The 15330-nt window shown below is 45.5% G+C and overlaps 1 protein-coding gene and 1 long non-coding RNA gene across 3 annotated transcripts in view, besides 2 other annotated features; one reads left to right on the top strand and one right to left on the bottom strand.

Moving 5' to 3' along the window:
- Nucleotides 1-9645, bottom strand: part of ARHGAP36 (Rho GTPase activating protein 36) — a 31540-nt gene extending 21895 nt beyond the window's left edge. For both annotated transcript variants that reach the window (NM_144967.4, NM_001282607.2), the window contains exon 1: nucleotides 9547-9645. Coding sequence is in view for 1 of the 2 variants with exons in the window: in NM_001282607.2 (NP_001269536.1) it covers nucleotides 9547-9604 (58 nt within the window). In the remaining variant the exon portion in view is untranslated. The remainder of the gene's footprint in view (nucleotides 1-9546) is intronic.
- Nucleotides 8987-9639: an enhancer, noted in NCBI's record as "H3K4me1 hESC enhancer chrX:130192326-130192978 (GRCh37/hg19 assembly coordinates)". NCBI's record gives its function as "activates a minimal SCP1, AML or CMV promoter by ChIP-STARR-seq in primed H9 embryonic stem cells {active_cell/tissue: H9 hESC(primed)}" and the evidence as "EXISTENCE:reporter gene assay evidence [ECO:0000049][PMID:30033119]".
- Nucleotides 9640-10293: an enhancer, noted in NCBI's record as "H3K4me1 hESC enhancer chrX:130191672-130192325 (GRCh37/hg19 assembly coordinates)". NCBI's record gives its function as "activates a minimal SCP1, AML or CMV promoter by ChIP-STARR-seq in primed H9 embryonic stem cells {active_cell/tissue: H9 hESC(primed)}" and the evidence as "EXISTENCE:reporter gene assay evidence [ECO:0000049][PMID:30033119]".
- LINC01201 (long intergenic non-protein coding RNA 1201) overlaps nucleotides 9845-15330 on the top strand; it is a 41678-nt gene continuing 36192 nt past the window's right edge. The window contains exon 1 of the long non-coding RNA NR_126350.1: nucleotides 9845-9944. This is a non-coding gene — a long non-coding RNA (long intergenic non-protein coding RNA 1201). The remainder of the gene's footprint in view (nucleotides 9945-15330) is intronic.

The following is a 15330-nucleotide window of genomic DNA, read 5'->3' as shown; positions in this document are numbered from 1 at the left end:
GTGAGTGTATATGTGTGTGCAATGTGTGGATGTGTGTGTGCCCGTTGAAGCTTGTGTGCATATGTGTGGAGTGTGTTTATGCTTAGATGCAGTGTGTCAATGTGGGTTTACAGGTGGTGTCTGTTGAACTGTGTAGTGTGTGAATGTGTGCGTGTGCAAGATTTCTCTATAAGTCAATCTACTTGAGATGTGTGTTCAAAGGTTTATGCATGTGAGGGTGCGGTGTGTGTCTTTTGGTGTGATGTTCTCATGTGTGTGGTGTGGACGCATGTGGTCAGCTTACGTGCTTGGATGAAGGGGTTGTGTGTGTCTTGAAGGGGGATTGCCGCGTAAGTGTATGGGTGCGGTGTGTGAGAGTACAGGGTTGTCTAAAAGAACCCAAGTGACCGTGTGTGTGGTTGGGGGCGGGGACGAGTGGGACGTTGGGCTGGGACTGAGAGAAGAAAGGAAGTAGGGGCCGCGACCCCGGCAGGGGTTCCCGCTGGTCTGATCTTCACCGTGGGGGTTCGCCTGCCCGCCCACCTCTGTGTCGGCAAGGCCCGCTGGGGCAGGGTGTGAATGTACCTGGCTGCTTAAAGGAAAGAAGAGGAGGGCACCGCACGTGATTGGCCAGGTAGGGCGCCTAGGGCGCGATACAGGGGCTGGTGGGAGTAAGCTGGAAAGATTCTTGGTCTCTGACCTGACACCCCTCCCCCGCCCAGGAGATCCCAGCTGGTGCCTAGCTGAGCCCAACTATTTGCTCAGGGCCTGGCTGTTTCACACCTTTTTGGCTTTGTGTGGGCAGATCCAGTTGCCTGGAAGCCCTTTCCCCTTGGGCCTTGTGACAAACTCCTACTTATTTTTTTTAAACCTAACTCCAGAATCACAAAACTTTCTCTGCTCTTCTGTACTTTTCCCTCTCAACTGAGGGCTCGCTTCTTTGAGCCACCACAATTACACCCTTCATACTTCTCATGCCATGATCATACATAACTGCAATCATTTCTTTCCCTTTTTAAACTCTGAACGGCTGTAGAGAATACCTGGTATGTAGCAAGGATAGTTGTAATAATAATAATAATGTTGCCATTTGTTAAGTACCTACTGTGTACTGGGCATTGTGCTAAGTGTTCTGACATGCATTATCTCCTTGGGTCCTTACAATGATCCTGTAAGGTAGACAGAGCTATAATTATTGCTATTTTTACACTTCATACATCAGGCTCAGAGTAGTTAAGTAATTTCCCCAAGATCACACAGACCCTAGGAGGCTGAGCTGGTATTTGAACTCAGGTCTACCATATTTCCTAAACCTGTATTACATACCAGGTGGCTTTACTAAGAGTCCCCTGATTCCTGCTAGACATTGAAGTTTCTATCAAACATTATCATTTCTCTACAAATCTTTCTTTTGAGTTTACTGACAGCACCAAGAGTACTCATCATAATTACTGTCTTTGTCTCCCAGACAGCGGATACTTTCTCCACCTAATTACCTGCTTTGTTGATACTTCAAAATCTGTAATTACTCTAGGCACAAGTGCACCTCACTAGCTCCAGTTCTGGGAGCTCTCCGTAGGCTGGTGCTGAAAGAAAGAGTTGAAAATGAACATTTTCTAGCCACAGGGTCAGGGGATTTGGGTATGGAGGGAAATGGAGGTGAAGAATCAGGGTGGAGTAACAGAATGATTTCACAGCTCCCCCAGACCCATTTTTACAATATCACTACCAGAAGTTGGTATATGGCGAATTTCAAATAGAGCAAGCATCTGCATACCAAACTGCATGTAGAAAAACAAGCAGAGCCTCTCCCTCAGAAAAGATTACTGAATGGACCCCATTTTATATTATTCATGAGTCGGGGGGCACTGCACTTGCCTAATGGGGCTCATGCTGCTCTAATGCCTTCCAAGCAGCCTCATCTGAGAAACCCAAATTAAAGCAATACATCGCATTTTGGGGAACACATTTATGGGGGGGCATGATGTCATCCCAGTCACAGCTAAAGGGCCTCTGGAAGCTCTAGCTCCCAGCTTAGCCCCCAGGGAACCAGCCTAGACTGCTGCAAAGAGGTCAGGGGGTGGATAGAGAGGGACAATTCAACAGTGGTGAGTCACTTCGCCACTTTTCAGGGGGAAAGTGAGAAGCACGATTTAAATTGCCACTGTTATTATTGTGCCCTTTCATCTGGCACAAATGAGCCTGGTGCGTGGATGAAAAGCAGTTGGAACATCCATAAAGCTTCCCCCCAGCTGGGCCTGGGTCAGCACCTCATCCTGGGTGGGCACAGAAAGCATTGCCTAAAGTATTATGTAGCCAGAAAGTATCCTTTGGAGGGGGAAAGGGAGCCTAAATACGTCAGTCTTACTCAGGCAGGGCATAGACCACCTGAAGCCCCTTGGTTTCATTAAACTTAAATCCATACAAGGTGTTCAGGCAAACTTTGGTATCTCCCAGCATCTGGTCTCAGATGCTCAGCTTTCCTGCTGCTGTGGGGCCAATCTGACACCTCCTCATTCTCCTCTGAATATACTGGCTTCACTTCCACCTCCTCACAGCTGTTCATGTGAGGCCTCTCTTCCTCAGAGGTTCTGCCCCTGCTTCTCAACACCAGCACACACACATACGCACAAATGCATAAACACATCGCTAGACTACCCATCTAAATCCTGTTGTGTAAGTTCCACTTTGGTTCATAAAGACCATCTGGTTCACTCCAGCTCAGTGTTCCTGCCTGTGCAATGGAAGACAAACTTCAACTCTGAAGAAGCCAAAAGCTCCAGGCTATGTCTCCAAAGATGCAGTCCTGGGCCAGGGGCTATTAGAATAATTGAAAGCTATCCTTCTCTAATGCCCCCCACCCATATAATTGGGGCAATAAGAGGGGCTATCAGAATCCCTATCAATATGCCACCACCATGGGATGGACACACAGACACGCAGACACACACACACACACACACACACACAAACACACACACACTTCCTTGGAGCTTAAAATCGCTGTCATAAGTCTCTCTCTCTCTTTGGAGTTCAGAAAATGTGTTCCCATAACATGAAGATTATATGGGGAATTGTAAAGGTGAAAATGCTTTACTAACTCCCATTACTGTCCAATATAAACAGAGATTTGTTTGATTTCACCCTAAATATAAGAATCTGGAGGAGCAGGGCACCAAAATGTGGATTTTTGTGGGGAGAGAGATCATGGTTTCCCCATGAGAGTAAAGCCCTTGAAAATCAGGGCTTTTGTTTTTTCCATGTGGGGAGGGCAGAGAAAGACCACAGGCTTCGGAATGAGACAGCTTTGTGTTGGTATCCCAGCTCGAGCACTTACTTGCTGTGTGATCTTGGGAAGGATACTTCACCTCTCTGAGCCTCAGTTTCCTCAACTGTAAAATGGAGATGTTAACACCTGCCTAGAATTGCTCAGATGACTAAAGGAGGTAAACCATAGAAACCACCAGCCAAGTGGTTAACAGATACAGTAAATGTTTAAGAAAAGGTTAGTTAATTCCCTTCTGCACTTTTTTTCGTTCTCATGTAGCCCAGAGTGTCTCAACCATGGTGTTCAGGGAGTGGAGCCAACTGACTAAACTGCCAATTTTCCTCATTACTGGCTTGTCTGACACTCTTGAAATAGTCCCTCTTCTTTTAGGAAGATGTTTGATCAGCCTAATGCAGCCCCGGAAGAACTGGACCTTAAGTCCAATTCTCACTCTGCAGTTTCTCCTCGCAGTGTTAATGAGACCAAGGTTTCAGATGTAATACTCCACACAGGAAAGTTTCAAACTTTCTGCTCACTGTCCAGACTTCCCTCCACCCCAATTGCTGACCCAGCCCCAACCCAGTCTCCTAAATATGTGCCATTGTGCCCCAGAAAATAAAAGCATGACTATTTCCTGGCTAAGATTGCCCTATGACTCCTGTTTTGCTTTGCCCTCACTTTCACTCTAGAAATAATAGTGCCTAAGACCATCCAGTTTCTAGCAGCCACCTACGTTGAGGGGTAGATGGAATGATAGAGAAAGATATGATGGTTCTCTGAGATATGCTATGCAGCACTTAAAATACATCTCTGATTAGCTTTTATTCATATGTTCCCAATGAAAGGAAAATAAATTCTACTCTTTGCCAAAACTAGTGAAGTGGAAGAAGACCCCAATCTGAACCCCCTCCTCCCTGGTGCTTTTGCCTCCCTCTAGAGACAAAAGCAAGTCACTGCAAGCTAAAGCTGCATTTAAGCAGGGAGCGGTGGTGGAAGATCAAGAAATTGGGGGCGGGGGAGGGGTGGTGGTGGTGGATATAATCCCAGGGAGGGATAAAGAGACTACAGAGTAGAGAGGTATTGAGATTCATGGCAGGAAAAGCTCTGAGAGGTCCACCCCTAGATGTTCCCAGACTCTGGAAGGTGCCTTCAACTCCTCCCTCTCCTTCATCCCTTCTATTTATCCTGCATGCTACCTTCACTAACCCTAGATTCCTCCTTGCAAGTGAGTCCCTCTGAGGATTTAAGAATTTCGAAAAACTTCTCCAGCTCCTACCCCTGTATGCTTCTGTGGAAATCCTGGAGCCTTAGCTTTGAAAAGGGAAATGGGAGGGGTAGCAATTAGGTGTCAACCACATCAGACAGAGAATAGTTAGAGCAGGGGTTCCAGATATGCCCATGCCACTTAGTAAGTTTCCTTAATAAGCAGGGACCTACCAGCTGCTGAGTATTGAGTACTCATCCCGAGGAAGCCGCGTGGTTTCTCAGGAAGTGTATCTGAGACGTGACAGTAGCTGCCAAGGCTCATCAAACATGCCATCTACCTACTTCTGCTGATACATGTGAGAACAAATGATACTGCCGAAGGAAACAGAAATCGTTTCTTAGTGACTCAGAGCCACATCTATGAGGACACAGGTGGTGCGTTTGTATTGCATCTTTCAGTTGAAATTCCTTTTCACAGAAAGAAATTTATAGATAATCAAATAAGTCAAAGACCAGCATCTGGGTCCTGGGCAAAGTATCACCAACATCATGTTGACCACCTAGTAAATGTCTGCCATATGTCAGCATAGGAGTTTTGCAAATGTTTCTCTCTTTTAATTTCACTCAAGCTTCGAAGTCAGATCAAAAAGGATTGTAATCCCTGCTCAGCCACTGTGTGACAGTGGGCAAGTTACTAAACTTCTCTGAGATTTTGTCCTTAAAATAGAGACAATAATACTAACCTCAGAAAGTTGTTATGGTTAGAGATAGTTTATGTAGTATGACTGGTATTTACAAATAGTAAACATTTGGGAAAAAAGCTTCTTTTGATAACTGAGCCATAGAAAGCATTTAACATAATGACATCTACAACAGCAGTAATAAGAACTATTATTATTATTTACAACCCCAAAATATAGACATTATTATGTCATTTTAAGAGAGGTTAAGTAACTCTCTCACAGCAACCTTATAAGAGCTGGCCTGGGATTCAAACCAGTTGTTCCTCTTCCCACCCAGAGTTAGTGGAAATTTCATGATCATTGGGAAGATCATGGTTGGCTGGCCGGATCTAGTCATTACATTTAAACTAAAATTAGGAGAAAAAATTCTTTAAACTATGTATAGTGAAATTCTAGATCACTGTATAGATTATTTGCATATCACAGGTACTAAATTTACCCTTGTATGCCTTTTTAAATTATAACAGTAATTGAAGAACAAACTTCATAGACTTTAGAAAACATAGAGAAAAATAACTATTATCCCACCACCTTAATAGATTCTCTAACTTTATCTTATTGTCGATTTCTTTCTAGTCTTTCAAAAATGCATATTTGACAGTTACAATCATACCATTTTCTATGTTGTTACATATTCTTCACAAAAACAATTTTTATGATTCTGTGCAATCTAATAAGGGGATATATCACAGAATTTATTTAACCATTCCACTATTGTTGGACATTTAGGTTGTTGTAGTAGGTAGGTGTGAAAAAAAAGGAATGATGTTACTTTCACCATTGCCATAATCACCCTCACGGACCTGGTGCCTTGCTGTATCAGTGCTCAATGCTTTCCATCATTTGATATTTAAGCCTGATAAATGTCAGCTCTACTGCTGGAGCCTGAGATATATTTGCAAGAGTATTATTTTCTGCCAGTTTTCATCACACAGATTCTGTATTTTATCCTCACGATGGGTAAGGTATGGGCTAAGCTCTAGAGCATCACATTTTTTTTCTTTGGGAGAAATGTATTTTGAGGTACAAACAAGTAATAAAGAAAATTGGGGAAGTCCTGCCATTGGTGAATGGGGGTGCTTATCTGACGACCTGACTTGGAGAATGGGGTGTCTCATTGGTCTCATTGGCAGTCACGCCCCAGCTTTGGAAACTGATCCTGCTGCAGCACAACTAGGCCTGGCCTCAGCAAATCGATTCGGTCCCATCTCCAAGAAAAGATCAAATTTGTATGTAAAGTGCGCCCCAGGGTCCCTTCAGCTTTAGAGCTTTGGCTGCTTTACAGAAGTCCAATTGTTTGAGGCCAAATCCAATGCCAAGAGTGAACTGGGGAGAGAATTTCAAGTGGGTCAATTGTGCTGTCTCTTTCCCTGGGAAAGAAGGCCTTTCTGGGCCCTCATTCCTCCCAGACCTCAGTGATGCCTCTCCCAAGTGCCTTCCTATGGTTGCCCATTGCCCGTTGTCGCCCTGAAAAATCTCTCTGATGCAAACCAACGTGGCACATGTATACCTATGTAACAAACCTGCACGTTCTGCACATGTATCCCAGAACTTAAAGTAAATTTTTTTAAAAAAGAGTTGAACAAAAAAAAAAATAGCAAACATCAACAAAAGAGTGATGATATTCTAATGAAGACAAAATAAACCTGCCCCTCAAAAAAAAAATTGCTGTCACATGCCAGCTATCTCTTGGGCAAGGGGAATGGGGGTGAAGGAACATTTAGATACTGCCCCAGTTCTGTCCAGTCAGCTGACAGCTTCCTCCCCCAACCCCATCTCTGACTCCTGAAGACTTCTGAAGGACATTCAAAGGGAGGCACCAAAGCAATTATAGCCCTGCAGAATATCAATAGTTACCCACAAAGTTACCCTTCACATTGTACAGCATTTCTCAGGGGGAGTGCAATGAAATGAGCTGTTGCCCAGTCAAAAAACTACCCAAAGATTATTTATTTCAAAGTGATGCCCTGTGACTTAAGTGAGATTATACATGTAAGCAATTGAGCCTAAGGGCCCAACATTTGGGAAGAGCTTCACATATATCAGCTGCTGTTGTTTGAGTAATAGAGCTGATGTAGGCAGTGGTGTGCTGCAGGGGTATGTTGGGGAACAGGTACCACCAGACTAGAAATGCAGCAGCGAATATAAGGTCTTACACTTGAGTTCAAACACCAAATACAGAATGGAGACTCCAAAAAGAACTTGGGTTTACTTAAGGAAAAAGAGTAGCTTTCGTTGAAAGTAATTCAATGTGAATAAAGTCTTTGTGTGAACTGTGTGGCTGTGCATGGGATTTGTGAGTGGTGCATACACAGGTGATGTGAGTATATTGTGTTGTGTGTGGAAAGTATGTGGTGCATGTGAAGCGTGTGTGTGTGTGTTCGTGGCTTTGCAAATGGGCATGCATAGGTGTGGTAATGTGTATGTTATGGGTGTGTTTATGACTACGTATGTGTGTACCTTGGGTGTGGTGTAGGCTTCTAAAAGAGGGAAAGTCAGCTTTCCAGGACTATATTTATAGGGGCACAGCTGGAAAGCCTCTTTTGGCCTGGTCACTGGACATTTATAACTTGGAGCATGTTCAAAGAAAAGCAGCTAGACATGGGTAGGGGCCTTGAAGCTATGTCACATGTTAAATAGATGAAGAAACTGGGGAAGTTTGGCCTAGGTAAGAACAGGGTGAGTAGGGGATGGGACAATGGGGAGAGCTGACACTGTTTCCTAGGAAGGAGGACCATGGAAGTCAATGCCAGGGCCAGAAGGTGGAAGTTCCCAGGACATAGATTTGGGTTCAGTTTAAAGAAAAGCCTTCTAATTCTAATAGACATTGCTGTTTTTAGATGGGAATGGGCTTCCTGGTGTAATATGGACTCCCTCCTATGTGGTTACTCATAAAGGAGCCTTCATGTCCTTGATCTCATTGGAGTCACATGACAACCTTCTAGTCCAAGCAACTGTGAAATGTTTCCCCCACCCCCTTTTTCAGGGTATACTGTTAGAGCAGTAAGGCCTTAAAAGACATCTTATAAAACTCCCTTATATTTTTGATTCACCAGGATCATATAAACCTTAAAAATATGCAAAAGAAAAAATTAAACTCTGTGTGTATGCAGATCTTTTTCCTTCTCAGAGATCTTGTTGCTGGCCTGAGGCTGTACTTGAACTGCCTAAGCAAGCTGTAGTCTTTCAGCAGGAGGTCAAACTCCTGGGATGGTTCTCAGCAGGGTGTTGGGGCTGGCAAGAACTAAAAACAGGTCTCTGCTGAATTAAGTTGCTGAGGCCCCTCCTTTCCCTGCTTCCCCTCCCCCGCCTGTGAAGGGACAGAGGAAAGAGGAGACAACCCCAGGTTTGGTCTATGGCTGGTGCCCAATGACGCACTCTCACCAATATAGATTTTGGAGGTGGAGACTATGAAAAAACAGGTGGCTGTGGGGGCAGGTGGCAGCCTGAAGGGGGTGGGGCTTATTATCAAGGGGGAGTGAAGGACAGTGTGGGTGGGGGTCCTGGGGTATGTCAAAAAGAAAATATCAGTCTCCTGAAACTTTAAGGATGAAAATATAATCAGTTGTCAAAATGTACTTTGTAGAAGCAGTTCCCGAAAAGGGGTGAAATGTGACCCACATATGCCGGTGCTGTGATCTTTGCACACTTGTGTCCTCAATTCCACAGAAATAGGGAAACCAAGCATTGATCTCAAGTACCCAAGGAAAGAACCCGACTAAAGACCGCAGGGGTCCACTACTGGGCAGTCTGGGGCAGTGGGCAGCTGGCAGAGCCTAAGCTGACCCAGGTATGCTGCCAACCTGTTGGGTAACCTTGGGCAGGCTTTTCCCATCTTCAGTGTCATCATCTCTTAAATGAAGGGGTTAAATTCGACGACTCTAGGGGGTCCATTGCTGATATTCTGTGTTTGAGATTGAGACAAGGGGACGAACTTCAAGGCAAAATGAATACCCGCCTCCTTCAGGGTCCCTGGGGCCTGGCTTGCCCTGTCAGGGACATTCATCCTTGGGCCTTGAGGGTCCTTGAGTTGCGGGACGCCGCTCCTGCGCGTCTGGCCCCAAGGCTCTGGCTGTCCCTGCCGGCGGCTGAGCCAGCGACTCCGCCCACGCGCTCGTCCCGCGTACCGCCGAGCCATTAGCGCGATTGCTCGCGGTTCCCGGCAAAGCTGGTGATTTATGCGGGGCCTCGACGGGGCAGTCCCTTGAGCCAGGAACAATTAGCTAAAAGCCAGCAGGAAGGGAGGCAAGGGGGCGACCAGCCAAGCCCCAGGGCGCCCAGAGGGGGCTGCAGCCGCCGGCCGCCCCCGGCCGAGCACCCCAGCCCCCCGACTCGGTGGGCCCCACTCACCACGGCGGGGGCGGGGCTCAAAGGCCGAGGCGAAAAGGCAGTCCAGTATCCACGCCATGACCCGCGCTGAGTGCCCGGCAGCTCGCAGTTAACCTTTGCGTCGTCCCCCGCACCGGCGGCCCTAAGTAGCCCCCGGTGACCACGCCCTGAGCCGCACCCTGCACCCAGCTAAGAGTGTTTCGGTCACCGGACACCTCGAGCATGTCACGAAGGGGGCAGGGCCTCCGGGGAACCCCCCCTCCTGCCAGAAGAGAGGCCGCTGGTCCCGCAGCCCCTTGCCCCACGCGAAGGGAGGCAGAGACACACAGCTCCTGTCCTGGGAAGCTGATTCTGAGGGCGGGACCCTGCCCCTACCCCAGGGAGCCCAGAGTCTGAGGGGAGACGCCATCTCAGCCCTGGTGAGCCCCAAATCTGAGAGGGAGGGAAGGTCCTTGTCCCCCAGCCCCACCCCAGGAGCCCTTGATCGGGCACATAAAAGCAGGCCTGCCCCCAAAGGCTGGAATTTGAAGGCGAGGTAGCGCACCTGTCCCAGGGAGCCTCAGATCTGAGAGCGAGACAGTATCCCAGGCTCTAGAAAACTCCACGATTTAGCGGAGCGTTATCTCAGCCCTCAAGAGGCCTAGTCTAAGCGGGAAGCAGTGTGTTCCCCAGGATCCCTGAATCTAAAGGGGAGATGCTGTCTCAGCCCTTGGGGACCCTCCCACCCCCACCCTTAACCCCTCTCTTAGGGCAGGCATCACCTCAGCCCCGAGTAGCTCCAAGTCTGATTTAAATCACTGGTCCGTTCTAGAGGACCAAGAATGTGAGCAGGAAAAACGATTTTGCCGCCTCCCCCAAGAAGTCCCATATCTGAGAGTAATCTTACTTCCCTTCTCCTGCGAATTCCGCAGCGAAGAGGGAGATGCTCTCCTGCCTGGGAACCTTTGTACTGAGGGGGTTGATCATCAACTGAGATAAAAGAACCCAGTGTCAAGTATGTATAAACGTGGGGTGCCCCCCAGTTGCTGCCGACTTACAGATTCCACTGCCAATGCTTTTGCTCAGGGCACTGATATGGGAGGGGGACCCACATTTATTTTTAGAAAGAATTTGATATTTGATATTTCAATGGAGGGTGGTACTGTGTTGGATTTTCTTACACTTCTTTTATGGCTTTGTATTTTTACGTTTTAAATACATATGGAAGCACGTGCCATAATGGGTTCAGTGTTTGGGGCCTCTGGTGGTGGTAAAAAGAGCCCTGCCCCCCAAATCCTGGGGTAGAAGCAGCCACCAGAGATGGACCACATTAGGCAGGAAGGGCTTCTAAACGAAATTTCCTTTTTACTTCAAGCCCAGGGGCCCAAATTAATTTCTCTCCCAATTCGCCAGTGGTAGCTCCACAGACGTGACTCTGTGCCTTGTTTTTCTCCACTGGGAGAATGGGGCTCTGTTGATCAAAATGCTAGTGAGGAGGTAGAAAGAAATATGGAAAATCTCCTTCCAACAGTTCGATTGCAGGCCAGAGGAGTGGAAGCCTCAATCACTGGGTCCACTGGGGAGAGCAGTTATTATATTTGCTTTGCTAACCACTGATATTAGTATTAATGCGGCAAAAGGGGTGCATAAAATGGAAAAATTGCCTGTACTTTGCTGTACAATTCTTAGCAAAGCAGAGCTATCTTCAGAGTTTAAAGGCCCTCCACTTGTTTTCCTTCCTTTCTGGGAAAAATGGTACCTCTCTGCCTTTGTACCAACTTCTAAATCATTTTGATTTTCTCTGTTTTCTAAAAGCAATCACAGACAACAAACACTCACCAGACCTGCTCTTTTACCGATTTCTTCTTTACGAATACTTAGTCATCCAAGCCAAACAAGCCTAACATCTAGAAATGTCCAGTTTCAGGCCCTGGATATTGAAATCTCAGCCTTACCTCTTCCCATGAGCTTATCCAGCACCAGCTTTTGAAATGGCCTCAATGGGTTCCTTTTTTTTCCAACTGAATGAGCTTTTTTTGGGCTCCCTCATGGCACAAAATCTGCCTGCTTGGTCCAATCCCAGAGTCCTCGGAAACTGAAATTGCTCTGCTTCCAAGGCAGCTCTACATGAGGTACAAACCCATGACAGCCGTCCTTCTTTGTTGCCTTTTTCTCAAGAGGTATAATGTAATAAAGGAACAAAGCTACAGAAACTCACAAACCTAGATTGGAAGCTCAATTCTGCTATGTTCTAGCCATGTAATCTTGGGAGGGTTATTTAATCTCTCTGAAGCTTAGTTTCCTCCCCTGTAAAATGGGGATATTAATAGCTATGAAAAAGCTCCAGGTGGACCAAAGCATCTACTCTTTTGGGAAAAAAGAGAAGAGGAAATACAGAGGTCAGAATTCTTTAAAAAATTGATTTAGTAACTAAGTTAGCAGTTCTGCCCTGTCCCTTTTCTTTGACCACCTGCCTACTCTGCCACTTAATTACTTAGTGTTACATTACCTTTGAAAATCTTTATCCTTAACTAAATTTCCTGGGGTAGAAGGGCATAATAGACATAATAGGGAAATGCATTCATCCATCAATCCATTAATTCATACAACAAATATTTTTCAAATGTCCTCTAGGTGCCAGATATTGAGCTATGCAAATAATGTTGATTCACTCAATGAATTATTATGCAATTATTTTTAAGTGTATAATTCAGAAGCTTATATGATAAACTGAAAATACGCGTATGATATTTTTAAATGAAAAAAAGGCAGGATGCAAAATGTGCACACATTGTAATATAGACAGCGCAAATAAATAATAAGCCTATATACAGAAAAAAAAAGGCTAAAAGGAAACGCACCAGAATCTGAGTCGTGATTGTATTTAGGTAATGCAATTATGGGCAATTTTTAACTGTTTTATTATTTTCATATCTTAGTATTCTCCAATTTTTCTTTAATAAACCTATATTATTTTCTGGAGTTAGAAAATCCTACTTAGAAAAAAATCTACAACTTCGTCTCTGCTGAATAAAGGACTAGGCTAGATAGGAGAATGACGAGGGCCTTTAGGTTGGGGTTGTGCCAGTGGCACAGGGCACCTGGGCTGGCTTTGGTGACCCAGAAAAGGCTGAGAAAGTTGGCCTGCGAGTAAAACGCAGAATTCCCCTCCTGTGCAGGGGCACATAACAAGTTATGACTCCTCCTTTCTGAGGATGTAGGAGTCCTTAGTGCCCCCATCGAGCAGCCAGGAGCCTGCTAGCCTGGACCTGTAATCCCTCATCCCACGGTATGTGCTCACAAGGGATACATAGGACATCCTTGTCCTCACTCTGACAGTCCAAGACCTACGGCACGACAGTTTACTGCTTCTTAAGCGTCTTCTATTGTAATTCCAATTAAGAGCCAAGCATCCTGCTCCTAGTTTGGGTCATTGTCTTCCCAGAGGTCTTTAGCCAGAATGATAAAGTGAATCTGGGGCTTGTTGACTTTTAGAAGATAGGCTTCAGACCTTCTTAACTTTTTTCCTGAAGCCCAAAAGTGCTTGACACCCGGGCATATAATTGCTAATTAAATGGGACTCTAGGAATTAAAGGCCCTTAAACCTTGTTGTTGATCAGTGTTTCCCAAAGTACAATCTATTGGACCAGATGCATCAGAATCACTTGGAATGTCATATAACAATGCAGATTTCCTGCTCCCACTCCAGTCCTACTAAACAAGAATTTCTGGGCATGGGGACTAGAAAATAGTATTTTTAACAGGCCCTCCATGGTGGTTTTACGCCCACTAAAGTTAGAGAAACTCTAATATAGAAGAAAGAAGTCTTTCCCTGCAAACCCTCCCCTTGCACCCTAGCTACAGGGAACACTGCGGCACCCTAGCCACAAGAAACACTGGGGCAACCAAATGGGGAAACTGGTCACTTTAAGCCCACTCTACTTCTTTTGGGTGCATGGGGAAATATGTAGCATGGAAAATTGACTAAACCTTGAAACTTGACTCTTCATAAGGCCTAGGTGTATTCAAAATGAGCATACTCCATACAAGTCATTCATTTGGATTTTCTAAGAATCCTTGTGTATATGTCTACATAGCACTTCCCAGTCAGGTTATTTCATTTGAACATTCTACTTGTTGGGTTCCTTGCATCAGGCAAGAGAGCACAGTGGAAAGGGCAGTTAAAATGCCAAGAGTGAGGCTGGACTTACTGGCTGACTGGCTGGGTGAATGTGTGTCTGCTTCCCAACATGAGCCTCAGGCTCCTCCTCCATGAAGTGGGAATCTCAGTCCTGCCACCCACCTCCCTTTACAGCAGGCTTGTCCAACCCATGGCCCGTGGGCCACATGCAACCAGGACAGCTTTGGATGCGGCCCAACACAAATTTGTAAACTTTCTTAAAACATAAGATTCTTTTGCCATTTGTTTTACCTTATCAGCTATCATTAGTGTTAGTGTATTTTATGTATGGCCCAACAATTCTCCCAAAGTGGCCCAGGGAAGCCAAAAAAATTGGACACCTCTGCTCTACAGATTGTTAGGAAGGTCTCTGCATTTTCAGGAACGAGATAACAAAGTACTTATTTCTGGGTCCATGAAGGGAATTGGCAGATTAGCACCCTGCCCCCCAGCATCTCCTTTTGAGAAGCCCTATCAGAAGGTCCACACAGAGCACACAGGGATCATATTTGCTCTCTAAAGGGGACTCCAAGCCCCAGGACCTCAAGACCCTGCCTCCCTGGTTTTCTATTTGTGAAAGACTTAGCTGGGCAAATGGTAAACATGTCAGTGAAATCATGGGTGCTTTGGGGGACCACTTCGAACCTCAGAAGGGCCTCAGTTTCCTCATTTCTCAAATGGGTTTATACAGAGAAATCTTGAAGTTCCTTTCTAGCTACTTAACAGCATTTCTAGGGGTACACTCCTTCCATAGCACTTTTTTCCCATAGCTCTATTAATTCTAAATTTTCATATCACTGAAACCTGACAAAGTCCTGGCACCATCTTTGTGAGGTAGATATGGGAGAGAATTATTCCCATTTTCTTAGATTTAGAAAAGTGAGGCAAAGTAAGTGACTATCCCAAAGTCACCCAGGGGAGAAGAGATGAGCTGAGACCAGCCTCCACATCTCTCGCCCCCTGCCCATTCTTTTCCGGTACTCCTTGCTAGATCCCAGGAGCTGTCTGTCAGTGTGCTGACACCACTCAGGAAATGCAGGTTTCATCCTGACACCAGAAAGACAGAGCAACGATTACGCTTCAGTCCCCAAGGAGGCAGAGAAATTGCTTTTAGTTGACAAGCGCATCTCCCACACACATACCCCTCTGGTTGAATGAAAAGATAAAATCAAGTTAAAAATCCCAAATGCTCACTTAATTTTGTAAAGCATTTTGCTCTTTGAGCTAGGGGTAGGCAGGATGAAAGAATTTTCCAACTCCAGAAGTCTCAACAGGGTGGGGTAGGGAGAATAGTGGGAACAAAGGGGGGCACAGGAAAAAATGTCAGAAAGAACAAAAAGCACAGGGATGTTTTCTTTCAGTTTTGTGCGCCATAATCAATAAGAAAATGGAGTTATCTGAAAAAAGAACTAGAAAAAATTCAGGTGTGTGCTTATGCCTTTGAAAAACTACAAGACATGCAAGCCACTGACATTTCCATTCTAGAAGAAAATTCTGTGGCTTCCAATAACAAGAGTTTAGGGGCTCAGCAGGGGGACCGTCCACTTCTATGTGTTACCATGGACTCATGGGCTTTACTACCTCTGAAGTTCATCTCTGCAAAGCACTTGCCTTTATATATTTAAGTGTAGCAGCTCCCAACGTAC

This window comes from Homo sapiens, chromosome X, assembly GCF_000001405.40.
Source record: "Homo sapiens chromosome X, GRCh38.p14 Primary Assembly".
Classification (NCBI taxonomy): Eukaryota; Metazoa; Chordata; class Mammalia; order Primates; family Hominidae; genus Homo; species Homo sapiens.
Note: the sequence above shows the minus strand (reverse complement) of the source record. Positions and strands in the feature narration are given on the sequence as shown.